We start from the raw sequence: 14,610 nt of genomic DNA on the forward strand, positions 1-14,610 counted from the left end.
TGAAAGTCCTTTTTTTTCTCAGTGATTACTTTTTAATCTTCCAGGCATTCATTCAATCCTCACAAAACTCTATGTGGCCACCCCTGTTTGTGTGTTGTTGTTGTTGTTTTTGTTTTTTTTTAGAGACAGGCTCTCACTCTGTCGCCAGGCTTGAGTACTGTGGTGTAATCATCACTCTGCAGCCTCGACCTCCCGGGCTTAAGCGATCCTCCTGCCTCAGCCTCTTGAGTAGCTGGGACTACAAGCACACACCACCACACACAGCTAATTTTTAAATTTTTTGGCCAGGTGCTGTGGCTCATGCCTGTAATCCCAGTGTTTTGGGAGGCTGAGGTGGGAGGATTGTTTGAGCCCAGGAGTTCAAAGCCAGCCTGGGAGACATAGCAAGACCCTGGTCTCTATGAAAAAAAAAGTTATATGTATAACAGGCCAAGGTGGGCTCTGTTGTCAGGCTGGAGTGCAGTGGCGCAGTCTTGGCTCACTGCGACCTCCGACTCTCAGGTTCAAGCGACTCTTCTGCCTCAGCCTCCCGAGTAGCTGGGACTACAGGTGCACGCCACCACGCCCATCTAATTTTCACATTTTTAGTAGAGACAGGGTTTCACCATGTTGGCTAGGACGGTCTTGATCTCTTGACCTCGTGATCCACCCACCTCAGCCTCCCAAAGTGCTGGCATTACAGGTGTGAGCCACCACGCCCGGCCTTATAATTTTTTAACTTCCTGTAGATATGGGGTCTTGTTCTGTTGTCCAGGCTGGTCTCAAATGCCTGGCCCCAGGCAATCTTCCCACCTCAGCCTCCCGAGTAGCTGGGATTAGAGGCATGAGCCACTGCAGCTGGCTGAGGGAGGGCTTTGGAGAAGAAAGGGCAGAGGTAAAGGGAGAGAAGGACTGGGCAGTGTGTTGAGTGGCTCAGAGCAGCCACTCGGCTCCCTATTCAAGGAGAAGTGTGACATTCCGTGGCAAACTGTGACGAATCCACCTCTCCAAAACCCCGTTCAAGTTTGCTGTTCTCAGAGAAATAGGAAATTCTGCCATCTTGGTTTGGATTCCCCAAAAGCAGAGCCAGAGAATTTGGGTGCCGTGGTTTGGGAGGTGATCCCAGGACACCTGTGAGGAGTGGGATGGGGAAGAAGCCACTAAAGGGGGCATTTATGACCAAGCACGGTGGCTCACACCTGTAATCCCTGCACTTTGGGAGGCCGAGGCGGGAGAATTCGTTTGAGCTCAGGAGTTCAAGACCAGCCTGGGCAACACAGTGAGAACCCATCTCTATTAAAAATTTTAAAAATTACCTGGGTGTGGTGGCTCACACCTGTGGTCCCAGCCACTCAGGAGGCTGAGACAGGAGGATCGCCTCAGCCTGGGAGGTTGAGGCTACAGTGAGCTGTGATCACGCCACTGCACTCCAGCCCGGGTGGCAGAGTGAGACCCTGTCTCAAAAAATAGTAATAGTAATAAATAAAAATTAAAAAAAAATAAAGGCTGGGCACAGTGGCTCATGCCTGTAATCCCAGTACATTGGGAGGCCAATGTGGGCAGATCGTCTGAGGTCAGGAATTTGAGACCAGCCTGGTCAACATGGTGAAACCCCATCTCTACTACAAATACAAAAAATTAGCCGGGCCTAATGGTGCATGCCTGTAATCCCAGCTACTTGGGAGGCTGAGGCAGGAGAATCGCTTGAACCCGGGAGGCAGAGGCTGCTGTGAGCCGAGATCGTGCCAAGCCTGGGCGACAGAGCAAGACTCCATCTCAAAAATAATAATAATAATAATAAATAAAAATAAAGAGTGGGGTTTATGGGCTGGGCATGGTGGCTCGTGCCTGTAATCCCAGCACTTTGGGAGGGCCGAGGCAGTTGGATCACCTGAGGTCAGGAGTTTGAGACCAGCCTGGCTAACATGGTGAAATCCCATCTCTACTGAAAATACAAAAATTAGCTGGGCATGGTGGTGGGTGCCTGTAATCCCAGCTACTCAGGAGGCTGAGGCAGGAGAATTACTTGAACCAGGGAGACGGAGGTTGCAGTGAGCCTAGACTGTGCCACTGCACTCCAGCCTGGCCGACAGAGTGAGACTCTGTCTCAAAAAAAACAAAAACAAACAATCATAAAGAGTGCGTTTATGAGCAGGTGAACTTTGGGGGCAGCTGGGGATGGGTCTGGCTGGGAATCCTCCATGAGGCTGGGGACGGGATGCCTCAGGCTTGTAGCTGGGATGTGTTTGGTTGGCAACTCCACCCCCCAGTGGTTGAGGTTCCCCCGGCATTCAGCCAGACTCCCTCCGAGAGAACAGATCTGTTTCCTCTGTGCCCAGGGTCTGCCACTGTGCCCTGCCCGAAGCAGGTGCTCTATGTGATGCTAGCGGAGACATGGACCTCAGAAGCAAAGTGACTTCAGATCCCCAGGTGCCTTATGGAGCACCAACAGTCACTTCAGCCCCACACAGGGAACTCCCGGGGAAGGAGTCGTGGGTCACATAGGGAAGACAACACAGTCCCTGCCCTCTGGGAGTGCCCAGCCCTGCTGAGGAAAGGTGACCTGTGTCAGCGCCCACTGGCCAGGCATCATGCCTGTGTCCAGCACATGTGGAGTTATTAAGGTCCCCCTATAATCTGTAATCCCAGCACTTTGGGAGGCTGAGATGGGAGGATCGCTTGAGTTCAGGAGTTTGACACCAGCCTGGGCAACATAGCAAGACCCTGTATCTAAATAATAATAATGATAATAATAATTTTTTTAAAAAAGGAAATGCAGGTATTCAGGGACAGCCAGTCCTGTTTGCCCAGCTCTGTGCCAGGCCACATATGGGACTAGGAGGCACAGGGGCTGAGAAAGAAAGGGACATGGCTGGGTGCAATGGCTTAAACCTGTCATCCAAGCACTTTGGGAGGCCAAAGTGAGAGGATCACTTGAGGCCTGGAGTTTGAGACCAGCCTGGGCAACATAGTGAGACCCGTATCTACAAAAAATAAAAAATTAGGTGTGCATGGTGATGTCCACCACTAGTCCCAGCTACTTGGGAGGCCGAGGTGGGAGGATCACTTGAACCTAGGAGGTCGAGGCTGCAGTGAGCTGAGATTGCACCACTGCACTACAGCCTGGGTGACAGAGCAAGACTTTGTCAAGAAAAAGAGAGAGAGAGAAGAAAAAAAAGAGGGAGGGAGGGAAAGAGGGAAGGAGGGAGGGAGGAAGAAGGAAGGAAGGGAGGAAAGGAAGGAAGGAAGGAAGGAAGGAAGTCCATCCTAACTCTTTTTTGTTTTTTTTCTTGAAACGGAGTCTCACTTTGTCACCCAGGCTGGAGTGCAGTGGCTCGATCTCAGCTCACTGCAAACTCCACCTCTCAAGTTCAAGCAATTCTTGTGCCTCAGCCTCCCGAGTAGCTGAGATTACAGGCATGCATCACCATGCCCAGCTGATTTTTTTTGTAGAGACGGGGTTTCACCATGTTGGCCAGGCTGGTCGCGAACTCCTGACCTCAAGCGATCTACCCGCCTCGGCCTCCCAAAGTGCTGGGATTACAGGAGTGAGCTGCCGTGCCCGGCAACTTCTTTTTTTTTTTTTCTTTTAATTGAGATGAGGGTCTCGCTATGTTGCCCAGGCTGGTCTGGAACTCCTGGGCTCAAGCAATCCTCCCACCTTGGCTTCCCAAAGTGCTGGGATTACAGGCGTGAGCCACTGCGCCCAGCCTCCATACTAACTCTTGATGAAGCCACAGTCCAGGGAGGGAGATGGGAGCTTCCTAGGAGAAGGGAACCATCTGAGAGGCTCAAGTCATGTGGTCAATGGAGACAGGAAGGGAGGAAGTAGCTCAGAGAAGCAAGAAATCTAGGATGACTTCCTGGAGGAGGCAGGTTGAGGCTGACATCTGGAGAACAGAATGGAAATGTTTCCTGGTGGCCCCAGCCCTCAGGGACCATGGCCCTGGCTTGCCCCACTTTTCCTCTTCTTGTACTCCCGTGAGGATCTGCTTTCCCCAAATACTCCAGGAGCTCGTAAAGCCTACATGATCCTGCTGTGTGAGATACAGGGACCAGGTCTAATTCCAGCACTGAAGCCCTGAATGGCCTTGGGCAAATGTCTCCCCTTCTCTGAGTCTCCATGTCCTCATCTGTTAAATGTGCTCATCATGCACTTTACCCTTACACATTTGTTGTGGGGCTAAGGAGATCATGTGTGGTTTCTGAGCCAGAAGTGAGCAAAGCTCTGTAGTGATCACACCACCCAGCCCCCTTAATTCACTGATAGGGAAACGGAGGCCCAGAGAGGCAAAGGTCACCGGGACAGCTACATCAACTTTCTTTTTTTTTTTTTTGAGACAGTGTCTCACTCTGTTGCCCCGGCTAGAGTACAGTGGCGCAATCTAGGCTCACTGCAACCTCTGCCTCCCAGGTTCAAGCAATTCTCCTGCCTCAGCCTCCTGAGTAGCTGGGACTACAGGCACGCACCACCACGCCTGGCTAATTTTTTTTGTATTTATAGTAGAGATGGGGTTTCGCCATATTGGCCAGGCTGGTCTCGAACTCCTGACCTCGTGATCCACCCACCTCAGTCTCCCAAAGTGCTGGGATTACAGGCGTGAGCCACCGCGCCTGGCTTTACATCATCTTTCAAGCCCTGGCTCAAAGGCCCTTTCTGGTGCCTCCAGGCCAAGCTGGTTGCTTCTGGCTTTGCTGTTTTTGTTTTTTTTTTTCTTTTTTGAGACAGAGTCTTGCTCTTTTGCCCAGGTGGGAGTGCAGTGGCGAGATCTCAGCTCACTGCACCCTCCACCTCCCGGGTTCAAGCAATTTTCCTGGGCTCAATCAGGCTCCACAAGCTGTGCCTGCGACTGAGCCTCCGGAACGAAGGGAGTGTGCCCTTCTCCTGAGAAGCTGGGTTTCTCCCAGGGTTGGTGGCGGGGAGGTGGGGGGGTCCCAACCTGGGGAGGTGGGGGTTGCTGTCTTCTTTGGCACCTCAGAAATGTTAATTGAGGGAAATTATGCAAAGGAGCCTGGATTGGAAATGCTCATTTGGACCTCAACAAGGTGGCTACGTTAAAAATAGCAAGAGGGGCTGGGCGCGGTGGCTCACGCCTGTAATCGCAGCACTTTGGGAGACAGAGGTGGGTGGATCGCTTGAACCTGGGAGTTCGAGACCAGCCTGGGCAAAACCCTGTCCCTCCTAAAAATTAGCTGGGCGTGGTGGTGCGTGCCTGTAATCCCAGCTATTCAGGAGGCTACTCAGGAGGCTGAGGCGGGAGAATCACTTGAATCCGGGAGGCAGAGGTTGCGGTGAGCTGAGATTGTGCCACTGTACTCCAGCCTGGGCAACAGAGCGAGACTCTGTCTCAAAAAAAAAAATGTCTAGAGGAAGGAGTTAAGTTTGGGATTGGAGAGAGGATGCCAGGCCCTTTGTCCTATGAGGTCCAGGCTCCTGGGCCCCTGAAGGGTCATCAGGCCTTGCAGCCTGAGCATGGACCCTGGCTCTAACAGTCTGTGACCCCCACTGCACTCCTGCCCGCTCTAGTTCCTGCGGTACGGCCCTTTCACATTGTGGACACCCAAGCAACAAATCTAACAATCAGATTGGTAGCTGACACCTGTAATCCCAGCACTTCGGGAGGATCACTTGAGCCCAGGAATTCAAGACCAGCCTGGGCAACAGAGACCCCCGGTCTCTACAAAATAAAATACAACAATTAGCCGGGTGTGGTAGTAAGTATGTGTATTCTCAGCTACTCGGGAGTCTGAGGCCAGAGGATCACTTGAGCCTAGGAGGTGGAGGCTTCAATGAGCTGAGATCACACCACTGCATCCAGCCCGGGTGACAGAACAAGGCCCTGTCTCATATAAAAATATTTAAAACATTTTTTTAATCAGATATGACCATGTCAATACTCTGTATATAACCTGCTAAGGCTCCCCATTGCCCTCAGGATAAAGCCAGGCCTCTTAGTCCTGCACTTAAGGCCTGTCCTGCTGGGTCTCTTAGTCTCATCTCCTACCACATCTCACTGTTACCAGGAGCTCCATCTGCCAGCACCTCCCTTCGGATCCCCCAGCCTCACCCTGACTCTGAGCCTTAGCACAGGCCATTCCTGCCGCCTAGAACATCAGCTCCTCTTTGTCACCAGAACAGCGACATCATCTTTCAAGCCCCGGCTCAAAGGCACTTTCTGATGTCTCCAGGCCAAGCTGGTTGCCTGGCTTTGGTTTTTTTTTTTTTTTTCTGTTGTTTTTTAGATGGAGTCTCGCTCTGTCACCCAGTCTGGAGTGCAGTGGTGCAGTCTTGGCTCACTGCAACCTCCACCTCCCGGGTTCAAGCAATTCTCCTGCCTCAGCCTCCCAAGTGGCTGGAATTACAGGCATGCACCACCATACCTGGCTAATTTATATATATATATATATATATATATATATATATATATATTTATTTATTTATTTATTTTGAGACAGAGTCTCACTCTGTCACCCAGGCTAGAGTGCAGTGGCGCTATCTCGGCTCACTGCAACTTCTGCCTCCCGGGTTCAAGTGACTCTCCTGCCTCAGCCTGCCGAGTAGCTGGGATCACAGGCATGCACCACCATGCCCAGCTAATTATTTTTTATTTTATATACATATATATTTTGTATTTTTAGTAGAAACAGGTTTTCACCATGTTGGCCAAGCTGGTGTCGAACACCCGACCTCAAGTGATTCACCCACCTCGGCCTCCCAAGATGTGGGGATTACAGATGTGAGCCACTGCGCCTGCCCTGGGTTTGCTGTTTCTCCAGCACCTTCCAGAGGCTTCTCCTGTAGCACATGCTCTTGGGATTTAGGTGTCTGTGGGTTTGGATGTCTTAGACTACGTGTTCCCTGAGGTCAGAAGCTGTGTTCAGAACATCACTGGACCTAGCCCAGCTGAGAACCAGCTCCTCCATCCTGCCCAATGTCTGGGGCATCTGATGGCAAATGACCCCAGGGCTGCCTCCCTGTGCCCTGCCCTGCACCTCCCCTTCAGAGACAACTGAACCAGGCCCTGGTGACTTGCCCCCCCGCCCCTGCCCACACCTCATCCTGTCCTCAAGGGCACTTGGGGGACGGGAGGGACGTGTGGAGGGAGGCTGGTTATTAATTAAAAACCAAGTCATGCACAGATCCTGCTTCATTCCAATAAAAACCGTCAAGGGTATTAATTACCAGATCTGGCGATAGACGCGGGTTAGGTTTACTCAGGCCCGGTAAGGATGCTGGTGGCCAGAATATCAATGAGCACCCGGGCTCCTCGGCTCTGGGCCCTGGGCTGAGCACGGGCTGGGCAGGCGCGGGGCACCTTGGGGAGGACGAATTGTGATGAAAATAACACCGATGCCACTAAATGCTTCTCAACCAGCACTTCCCGAGTTCCAAGCAGGGGGCCACATACCATTGCTACATGCCTGATGTCATCTCACTCCCGAAAGCCTTGTGAAATGGATTCTATTTTTATCCCCATTTTGCAGCTAAGGGCATTAGGGTACAGAGAGGTTTTGTAATTTGATGGGGTCACACAGCTGGCAAGGGGCAGTGCTGGGATACCAGCCTGGGCTCTTTTTATTTTTGTTATATTTATTTATTTATTTTTTAGGACAGGATCTTGCTCTGTCACCCAGGCTGGAGTGCAGTGGCACAATCACAGCTCACTACAGCCTCGAACTCCTGGGCTCAAGCGATTCTCCTGCCTCCACCTCCCGAGTAGCTGGGACTACAACGACATGCCATCACGCCTGGCTAATTTTTTTTTTTTGAGATGGAATTTCACTCTTGTTGCCCAGGCTGGAGTGCACTGGTACGATCTTGGCTCACTGCAACCTCCACCTCCTGGGTTCAAGTGATTCTCCTGCCTCAGCCTTCCGAGTAGCTGGGATTACAGGCACCCACCACCATGCCCTGCTAATTTTTTGTATTTTTAGTGGAGACAGGGTGATGCCATATTGAGCAGGCTGGTCTCGAACTCCTTACCTCAGGTGATCTGCCCACCTTGGCCTCCCAAATTGCTGGGATTACAGGCATGAGCCACTATGCCCGGCCATGCCCAGCTAATTTCTTAGTAGAGATGGGGTCTCGCTATGTGGTGCAGGGTGGTCTCAAACTCCTGGCCTCAAGCAGTCCTCCCGCTTCAGAAGCCTCCCAAAGTGCTGGGATTACAGGTGTGAGCCACCATGCCTGGCAGCCTGTGCTCTCAAAGTCCCAGAGGAGCTGGGCTGCGTCATCAAAGCAACCCTTCCTTGGACAAATGGGGAAACCGAGGCAGGAGAGAGCATCACTTGCAAAATCACACATTGGAGGAATGTCGACCATGTCCCCTGAGGCCCAGTGTAGGACTCTCCTCCCACCAGACTAAGTGTGTATATGTTGGGGTGGGGATCCTTGCCAGAAAGGGAGGGGTGTGGCCGGGTGTGATGGCCCACGCCTGAAATCCCAGCACTTTGGGAAGCCGAGGCGGGTGAATCACCTGAGGTCAGGAGTTTGAGACCAGCCTGGCTGATGTGGTAAAACCTCATCTCTACTAAAAATACAAAAAAAAAAAAAAAATTAGCCAGGCATAGTGGTGGGCGCTTGTAATCCCAGCTACTCGGGAGGCTGAAGCAGGAGAATCGTGTGGACCCGGGAGGAGGAGGTTGCAGTGAGCCGAGATTGCGCCACTGCGCTCCAGCCTGGGTGACAGACTGAGATTCTGTCTCAAAAAAAAAAAAAGAAAGAAAATAGAAAGGGAGAGGGTGTAGGGGCCCCAGATAGGCCAGGATTTGGGGGTCAAGGCCACCTGCCACTTCCTGTCTCCCTCCTCACCTGCCTCCCTCCTCCCTTCATCCATCCATCCTCTCCAAACCCTCAGCAGCCCAGCACTCCTCTGTGTCAACCCTGGAAGGCGGTCTCAGCCCGGCACAAGTCCCCAGCGGCATTAAAATAGGCCTGACCTAAATACAAGCACAATGCCAGCGCTGAAAACACGGCTGTGTCAGCGGAAACTCCAGCTGGGTAGGAAAAAAAAATACACTTTGGGATTCAAGCCATCACCCCACCCCAGAAAGGGGGCCGGGCTGCCCCAGGGCCAGGGCCAGTGCCACCTACAGGACCCTGAGCACCCATAGTTCCCTAAACGTCCCCAAGTGTGGCAAAGTGGCGGAGGGGAGAGGACTCTGCTTCTGTGGCCTGACAGACGGCAAGCTCACAAGGGGGTCAGGCAGCCCTCAGCAACCACTGCTATCACTCCGGGGAACTGAGGCTCTGAGAGGGGAGGTGGCCACCCGAGGTGGCACAGCTTATAAGTAGCAGGAGTGGGGCAGCCGCTTGATTTCCAGGCAGGAAGAGGAGAGGGACAGCAAACAGGCTCCTAATGCAGAAGCTTGGGCCTGTGACTCAAAACAGGTATTAAGTAAACACGTTCTATCAAGAGGCCATCCATGCCTGTAATGCCAGCACCTTGGGAGGCCAAGGTGGGGGATCACTTGAGGTCAGGAGTTCAAAACCAGCCTGGCCAACATGACGAAACCCCTTCTCTACTAAAAATACAAAAATTAGCCAGGGGTGGTGGTGCGCACCTATAATCCCAGCTACTTGGGAGCCTGAGGCACAAGAATTGCTTGAATCCAGGAGGTGGAGGTTGCAGTAAGCTGAGATCGTGCCACTGCACTACAGGGTGAGACTCTGTCTCAAAAAAACAAACTGAAAAAAAAAAGAGGCCATTGACAGCCTTGAAGACCTTACTTTTAATTTTTATTTATTTATTTATTATTATTATTATTGAGATACGGTCTTGCTCTGTCACCTAGGCTGGAGAGCAGTGGCGCGATCATGGCTCACTGCAGACTTGAACTCCTGGGCTCAAGTGATCCTCGAATCTCAGCCTCCTGAGCAGCTGGTTCTACAGGCACATGCCACCACACTCAGCTAATTTTTTGTATATTTTGTACAGATGGGGTCTCTCTATGGTGCCAAGGCTGGTCTCAAACTCCTGGCCTGAAGCGACCCTCCCACCTCAGCCTCTCAAAGTGCTGGGATTACAGGCATGAGCCACTGTGATTGGCCTGAAGGCCCTAAGTTTCTATTCAAACCAGAACTTGGCCGGGCGCAGTGTCTCATGCCTGTAATCCAAGCACTTTGGGAGGCTGAGGCAGATGGATCACCTGAGGTCAGGAGTTTGAGACCAGCCTGGCCACCATGTGAAACCCCCATCTCTACTAAACATACAAAAAAATTAGTCATGCGTAGTGGCGCACACCTGTAATCCCAGCTACTCGGGAGGCTGAGGCACGAAAATTGCTTGAACCTGGGAGGCAGAGGTTACAGTGAGCTGAGAGTATGCCACTGCACTCCAGCCTGGGCGACAAAGTGAGACTCCGTCTCTAAAAAAATAAAAATAAAACTGAGCAGGGCACGGTGGCTCAAGCCTATAATCCCAGCCCTTTGGGAGGCTGAGGCAGGTGGATCACCTGAGGTCAGGAGTTCAAGACCAGACTGGCCAACATGGTGAAACCCCGTCTCTACTAAAAATACAAAAATTAGCTGGGCATGGAGGCACACGCTTGTAGTCCCAGCTACTCAGGAGGCCGAGGCAGGAGAATCACTTGAACCTGGGAGGCAGAGGGAGCCTGTGTGACAGAGCCAGACTCTGTCTCCAAAAAAAAAAAAAAGAAAGAAACACATTATTTGCACATGAGGCACAATATGAATTGTGTAGATTCGGCGATTCTGCTCACGAGTAAAATGCTCTTATAGCTACATTTAAAGCCAGCATTGAACGATATAAAGATAAATGGTAAAGAATGAAATAGTAAAAGACTAATCATTTAGCATTTTAATGTTTCTGTATTAAGAACGACATTAAATGGCAAATAGCAATTTTTTTCAAAATCATGATGTCAAGAGAGAGTCAGCCCAAGGATGAAAGGAAGAAGTTTTGTATTTTAGCACCTTCGAGGACACATTTTTCCTGCTTTTTGAACAATGTGCCCCACACTTTCCTCTTGCAGTGATGTAGCCAACCCTGGCCCTGGAGCTGCACCATTCGGGGTAGGGAAAGAGAAGCATGTCTTCAGTGGTTTTCTTTTTCTTCTTGTTGTTTTTGTTTTTGTTTTGTTTTGTTTTTTGAGACAGAGTCTTGCTCTGTCACCCAGGCTGGAGTGCAATGGCACAATCTCGGCTCACTGCAACCTCTGCCTCCCGGGTTCAAGCGCTTCTCCTGCCTCAGCCTCCTGAGTAGATGGGATTACAGGGCACCTGCCATCATGCCTGGCTAATTTTCTTTTTTTTTTTTTTTTTGGAGACGGAGTCTTGCTCTGTTGCCCAGGCTGGTACAGTGGCGCGATCTCGGCTCACTGCAAGCTCTGCCTCCCAGGTTCAAGCCATTCTCCTGCTTCAGCCTCTCAAGTAGCTGGGACTACAGGCGCCTGCCACCCCGCCCAGCTAATTTTTTTGTATTTTTAGTAGAGACGGGGTTTCACCATGTTAGTTGGGATGGTCTCGATCTCCTGACCTTGTGATCCACCCACCTCGGCCTCCCAAAGTGCTGGGATTACAGGCATGAGCCACCATGCCCAGCCGCTAATTTTTGTATTTTTAGTAGAGATGGGGTTTCGCCATGTTGGCCAGGCTGGTCTCAAACTCCTGACCTCAAGTGATCCACACGACTCGACCTCTGCCTCGGCCTCCCAAAGTGCTGGGACAATAGGCATGAGCCACCACGCCCGGCCGGGTGGTTTTCTTTTTCTTCTTTATTCAGTTCTTGGCAAACTAGAATAAAGAGGGGCCTCCTGCCCCCAGACCTACCCTGTCCTGGGGCTCGTAGTAAAGAGGTGGCAAATTTTCTGCTACATTTCCGGCAGGCTGGGATCCCGGGCAGCAGGGAGCCCAGACGTGTGAGCGGCAGAGCTGAGGCTGGCTGAGGAGGAAGGGCTCTGTCCTCTTTACAGAGGAATCTCATTCTCCTGGCCTTGTGGCTGGCCCACCTGACGCTCCCCAGATGGCACAACCATCCCCATCCTGAGTATAGGAAACGAAAGTTTGAGGACCGGGTGCGGGGCTCACGTCTGTAATCCCAGCACTTTGGGAGGCCATTGCGAGAGGATCGCTTGAGCCCAGAATTTCGAGACCAGCCTGGGCAACCCAGTGACTCTCCATCTCTACAAAAAATAAATAAATAAAATTGGCTGGGCACATGCTTGTAGTCCCAGCCACTCAGGAGGCTGAGGTGGGAGGATCATTTGAGCCTAAGAGGTGGAGGCTACAGCAAGCTGTGATCGAGCCACTTTACTCCAGCCTGGGTAACAGAGTAAGACCCTATCTCTAAATAAACAAATGAATAAAGAAACTGAGGTTTGGGCAGAGAAGGTGATAGGCAGAAAATGCTGTGACTGCATCATATATGCAGATGTACACAGGGCAGGTGGGGTCCACAGAAATGGGTCACACACAGGGGTGACTCCATCTAACCCAGCACCTTTCCCAGTGGTGGCCCAGTTAGGGAGCCCAGCCGGGTAACACCAAGCATGTGAGGGCCAGGGCAGCTGGGAACCTGAGCCTGTAGAACCCCGGGGCTTCCAAGAGGCCAGCCCAGGAAGGTGAGTGGGGCTGGTAAGTATTCCCAGGGGTTGGGCCTAATTTTTTGTTGTTGTTTTTGTTTTGAGACGGAGTCTTACGCTTGTCACCCAGGCGGGAGTGCTGTGACTCAATCTTGGCTCACCGCAACCTCCGCCTCCCGGGTTCAAGCAATTCTCCTGCCTCAGCCTCCCGAGTGGCTGGAATTATAAGTGCCCACCACCACACCCAGCTAATTTTTGGATTTTTAGTAGAGATGGGGTTTCACCATGTTGCCCAGGCTGGTCTCGAACTCCTGACCTCAGGTGATCCCCCTACCTCGGCCTCCCAAAGTGCTAGGATTACAGGTGTGAGCCACTGCACGTGGCCTAATTTTTAATGTTTAACTAGAGACGGGGAGAACACTGACTCTTACTAAGTTATTCCGGGGAGGAAGCTGAGCCAGCCGGCAGTGGAGACAGCTCCTGGACAGCAACCTCTCTCTGGGCCTTCTGGGTTGTTTCTCCCAAGTAGACAGCAGGAGCTGAGTCAGAGCCCTGCCCTGGTGTCCCTCCTGAGCCCCCAGCCCCTTCACCCGCCTCTCACAGCTCCTGCCTTTAGCCACTTGTTCCAGCAAAGCCCTGGCAGCCTCAGACTCTGGGTCAGGTCGTATGCTGGGTGCAGGGACTCAGAGAGCCCTCAGACAGGGCCCCTGCTGGAGAACCTCATGGTCCAGTGGGAAGGCAGATGGTTTCAAAGCACTGTGGGCTTGGGAGGCCCAGACAGGCACCTGACCAGCCTGAGATCAGGGGCTCCTTCCTGGAGGCAGTAACCTGGGAGGTGAGCCCGCAGAGGCGAACAGAGCATTGCCGGGCAGACAAGAAGGCAGGGAGGACACCTACCGAGGTGGCCACTGTCTAAGACCCTCAGGGTTCTCTGAGTGCTGGCTGGTGCTGACATGTATATCTGCCCAACAGCATCTCCAGGACCAGCCCCCAGTGACCCGTGGAAGATCATGCCTCTCTAGCGCTCTGAGTTCAGGCTGTTTGTGCTGCTGTGACAAAATACCTGAGGCTGGGCACAGTGGCTCACACCTGTAATCTCAGCACTTTGGGAGGCCAAGATGGCAGATCCCTTGGACCCGGGAGTTTGAGACCAGCCTGGGCAACATGGTGAAACCTGTCTCCACCAAAATATAAAAATTATCCCGGCATGGTGGTGCATGCCTGTAGTCCCAGCTACTTGGGAGGCTGAGGTGGGAGGATCCCTTGAACCCGGGAGTGGGAGGTTGCAGTGAGCTGAGATCATGCCACTGCACACCAGCCTGGGTGACAGAGTGAGACACCCATCTCAAAAAAAAAAAAAAGAATTATATTAAAAAAAACCCATAAAAATAAAAACACAAAATAAAAAAATATTTTAAAAGACAAAATACCTGAAACTGGGGAATTTATAAAGAACAGAAATTTATTTTCTCATGGTTCTAGAGGCTGGGAAGTCCAAGATCAAGTAGCCAGCAGGTTCACTGCCTGGGGAGGGCCCTAGTCTCTGCTTCCAAGATGGCACCTTTTGGCTGCATCCTGCGTGGGGGATGAACTCTGCTCACACATGGCAGAAGGTGGAAAGGCAAAGGGTCCTAAGCTAGTTCCCTCCAGCCCTTTTATAAGGCACCAATCTGTAGGCTCATGCTCTCATGACCTAATTACTTCCCAAAAAGACCCCACCTCTCAATACCACCACCACAATGAGTAAGTCTCAACATGAATTTTGGAAGAGACATCATCATTGAAATCATAGCATTCTGCTCCTGGGCCCCCAAAACTCATGTCCTTTTCACGTTCACATATGACATACATTCATTCCAGCCAGGCACAATGGCTCACGTCTGTAATCCCAGCACTTTGGGAGGCCAAGGTGGGAGGATCACCTAAGCCCAGGAAGTCGAGGCTGCAGTGAGCCACAATTGCGCCACTGCACTTTAACCTGGGCAACAGAGTAAGACCTTGTCTCAAAACAAAACAAAACAAACAAACAAACATACTACTCATTTTATCCCAGTAGCCCTGAAAAGCCTTAACTGATTCTAGCATCAA

At 51.6% G+C, this 14,610-nt stretch overlaps 3 annotated features.

Moving 5' to 3' along the window:
* Positions 7,409-8,382: an enhancer, noted in NCBI's record as "OCT4-NANOG-H3K27ac-H3K4me1 hESC enhancer chr7:73843950-73844923 (GRCh37/hg19 assembly coordinates)". NCBI's record gives its function as "activates a minimal SCP1, AML or CMV promoter by ChIP-STARR-seq in primed H9 embryonic stem cells {active_cell/tissue: H9 hESC(primed)}" and the evidence as "EXISTENCE:reporter gene assay evidence [ECO:0000049][PMID:30033119]".
* Positions 11,951-12,571: an enhancer, noted in NCBI's record as "H3K27ac-H3K4me1 hESC enhancer chr7:73848492-73849112 (GRCh37/hg19 assembly coordinates)". NCBI's record gives its function as "activates a minimal SCP1, AML or CMV promoter by ChIP-STARR-seq in primed H9 embryonic stem cells {active_cell/tissue: H9 hESC(primed)}" and the evidence as "EXISTENCE:reporter gene assay evidence [ECO:0000049][PMID:30033119]".
* Positions 13,193-13,812: an enhancer, noted in NCBI's record as "H3K4me1 hESC enhancer chr7:73849734-73850353 (GRCh37/hg19 assembly coordinates)". NCBI's record gives its function as "activates a minimal SCP1, AML or CMV promoter by ChIP-STARR-seq in naive H9 embryonic stem cells {active_cell/tissue: H9 hESC(naive)}" and the evidence as "EXISTENCE:reporter gene assay evidence [ECO:0000049][PMID:30033119]".

The sequence above is a fragment of the Homo sapiens genome, chromosome 7 (genome assembly GCF_000001405.40).
Source record: "Homo sapiens chromosome 7, GRCh38.p14 Primary Assembly".
In the NCBI taxonomy this organism is placed as follows: Eukaryota; Metazoa; Chordata; class Mammalia; order Primates; family Hominidae; genus Homo; species Homo sapiens.